Consider the following 3,422-nt stretch of genomic DNA (forward strand, 5'->3'; position numbering starts at 1 on the left):
AGAAGTTGATGGGATTCTTTGTTGACGAGTGTAGTGTTCAGGAAGGGAGAGATTTTGCTCGGATTTCATTGTGTTAGAATAACATGTCATTTTCAAGGAACCAAAATCATACTGTGTAATGGACAGACCGGTGTTATAGTTCTACTTAAGGGTTGGACGTTTCACATCTTTCCTATCCCATCCACACTTTTGGTGACTGTGGGGTTCCCCCCAAACACCCTATTGTTCTGTGCATTAATCCACAGCGAGCTGGTGACGCGTTTTTGTCAAGACCAAATCAAACTTGGGAAGTCTTCAAGTCAGGAATGGAAGTCACTAAGCTCCATGTAAATAAACAGTATATGTGAACTGAATAACCTACTTTGTTCCGGCCTTACGCCAACCCTGCACTTCCAACAGAACCATCTTTGAAGTTTCCTGGCCATCACTGCCCCGCTTCCAGCGTCGCCATCATTCCTTTCACACACCCCACTTGCCGAAAGTACGTTCTGTGCGCTCTCTCACCCTCCTCTTGATTGTTTTCCCTAAGGGGTGCAGCATCAGTTCAGAACTGAAAATCTCCCTATCCCACTTCTCGAAGCCATTAATCAGAGATTTCAACAGGGTTCACCGCTGATGACCCATCTAACTGCTCGTCCTCTCACAGTTTCTGACAACTGTGTATTAGTATTTGCAAGTTTTGGAAGGTGTTGTAAATAGTTTTTAACTGTTAGTGAATTTTAATTTCAAACGAGGAACTTTTTATTAAGCTGGATCTTTGAAGTCAGCACTTAAAAAGCCCCCTTCCCCACCATGTTACATTCCCTTTGTGTGCTATATAAGCATCTGTCTTTGGCGGTTGGCCGCGTGGCCTAATGGATAAGGCGTCTGATTCCGGATCAGAAGATTGAGGGTTCGAGTCCCTTCGTGGTCGTCGTTTTGCGTTCTCTGGTTCGAAAGATATTTGTTGATTCAGAGCATTTTCCCTTTTCTTGCTCCGGTCTGGCTGCCAATTAACAACTAAAGGTAGAAGTCTTATTTAACGAGTATATACGGTGTGCCTGCCCTGTGACAACTGCTTTATAAAAGAACAAAGCAGAAATAGCACTTGGCCTCAAAGAGCTTACTTTCTACTGGATCTAACAGTTGAAATCAAGCAAACGCTGGGAAGAAAAAAAAATTGTTTCCACTCCTGTGAAAAAAAGAAGTACGAGGATAAAATAAAAAAATAAGGGATGGGGACTTCTTTAGGAAGCATCCACCCTCCTGGAGGTCCTGAAGAAATGCTATTTAGCTGAAAAATGAGTATTTTTCAGGCAGAAGGAATAGCATTTGTTAATTCACTGAGAATCTGAAATCACTAAGTATTTTCAAAGTTCAGGTTGCTGAACTCTTGTGTGTATGTGTTTGGAGCTGGGGGTGGGTGGGGGCGGGGGAAGGAGTGGAAATCACTACAGAGAAAAATCAACAAAAAGGGATAAAGGGAGTTAAATTTCTGGGAACAAGATCTCTCACAGAGATTCTCTATGGCTGAGACTCTGAACATGGTTTAAAATTAGTGTTCTCCAGATTTTCACTAACTACCAAAAAAGGTAACTGTCATCACCTGGCAAATCGTCATCACTTAAGCCTAAAGGCAGAAACCACCAAAAGCTTTAATCCAAACTGAGCTGTCCTCTAGTGCAACCTGTATTAGAGTAGTCATGATAGGTTGAATTTTTGCAAGTGGGCCAATGCCATAAATTGATCTGAACATTACTGCAAAGAAAGCACAGTGAGAGCAGGATCAAGCAAGTTTTCATCATTTTTAATTGAGCTCCAGTCGCTTCTTGAGGAAAAGAAAGCTAAAATTGATTCTCAAGAACATTTGTTTCTGTGAGAATATGTGGTAACTGAATAAGAATTCTTTAAAAAGAAACAACGCAATTCCCAGATTTAACACCAACGCCAGTTAACATTTACCGAATGCATACACTGTAGCTGCACTATTCCAACTATGAGAAATATATTAATAGTCTTCTTTTACAGATGTAGAAACTGACACCTAAAAGGGTATAACACATTGCCCAACACAACTAATAAAGGGTAAAGCTGGAAACTTAACCAAAATATTAAGTTATTTCTGGAGCACAAGTCTCAATGTTTAGAACAAATTTTTATTGTTTAATGGCACGATGCAGTGTGGTAAAATATATATAACATAAAATGTCACTTTAACTTTTTTTTTTTTTTTGAGACAGAGTTTTGCTTTGTCGCCAGGCTGGAGTGCAGTGGCGCGATCTGGGCTATCTCGGCTCATTGCAACCTCTGCCTCCCGGGTTCAAGCGATTCTCCTGCCTCAGTCTCCCGAGTAGCTGCGAGTACAGGCGCATGCCACCACGCCCAGCTAATTTTTTCTACTTTTAGTAGAGACGGGGTTTCACTGTGTTAGCCAGGATGGTCTCCATCTCCTGACCTCGTGATCCACCCGCCTCGGCCTCCCAAAGTGCTGGGATTACAGGCGTGAGCCACCGCACCCAGCCCTTGTTTTGGCATTTTAAAGAGACAGGGTCTCATTCTCACTGCAGTCTTGAACTCCTGGGCTCAAAGAATCCTCCTGCCTCAGCCTCCCGTGTAACTTAAACTACAGTCATGTGTCACAACACCTGGCTAATTTTTAATTTTTTGTAGAGATGTGGGGGGCAGCATGGACTCACCATGTTACTCAAGCTGGTTTTGAACTCCTGGTCTCAAGCAATCCTCCCGCCTTGACTTCCCAAAGTCCTTGGATTACAGGCATGAGCCTCAGCCCCTCACCTTTTGTCTTTTTGAAATCGCCTATTCTAGATATTTCATATAAGTGGAGTTATACAGTACTTGTGTCCTTTCATACCTAGCCTATTTCATCACTAAGCAAAATGTTTTCAAGTTTCATCCATCTCACAGCATATACCAGCATATATCCCATATTGTATGTATATTCATTTTTTAAAATTTCTTATATTTTGATGCCTATTCTGCTTACGCAGTTTTATTTTTGTTATTTTGCTTATCTGCTCATCTGTTGATGGCTGGATTCTCCTTTTAGCTATTATGAATGATGCTGCAAAGAACATTGGATTACAAGGATCTGTTTGAGTCTCTGCTTTCAATTCTTTTGGGTATACACCTAGAATTGCTAAGTCATATGCTACACCCATGTTTAGCTTTTTAAGGGAACCACCAAACCGGTTTCCACAGTGGCTTTATCATTTTACATTCTCACCAACAATGCATGAAAGTTCCAGTTTATCCACATCTTCACCAACACTTTTTCATTGGCCATTTTCCTGATTATAGCCATCCAAGAAAGTTTGAAATGGTACCCTACTTTGGTTTTGATTTGCATTTCCCCTAGTGAATAAAGACAGAGTACTTTCCAAGTGCTTATTGCCTATTTACATATTTTGTTTGGAGAGGTGTCT

The 3,422-nt window shown here is 41.2% G+C and overlaps 1 non-coding gene across 1 annotated transcript; it reads left to right on the plus strand.

The window, feature by feature from the left end:
• Positions 1-840: 840 nt before the first annotated feature.
• TRR-CCG1-2 (tRNA-Arg (anticodon CCG) 1-2) lies at positions 841-913 on the plus strand. Its single transcript has one exon. It is a non-coding gene; the product is annotated as a tRNA-Arg (tRNA).
• Positions 914-3,422: the final 2,509 nt, after the last annotated feature.

This window comes from Homo sapiens, chromosome 6 (assembly GCF_000001405.40).
Source record: "Homo sapiens chromosome 6, GRCh38.p14 Primary Assembly".
NCBI lineage: Eukaryota > Metazoa > Chordata > Mammalia > Primates > Hominidae > Homo > Homo sapiens.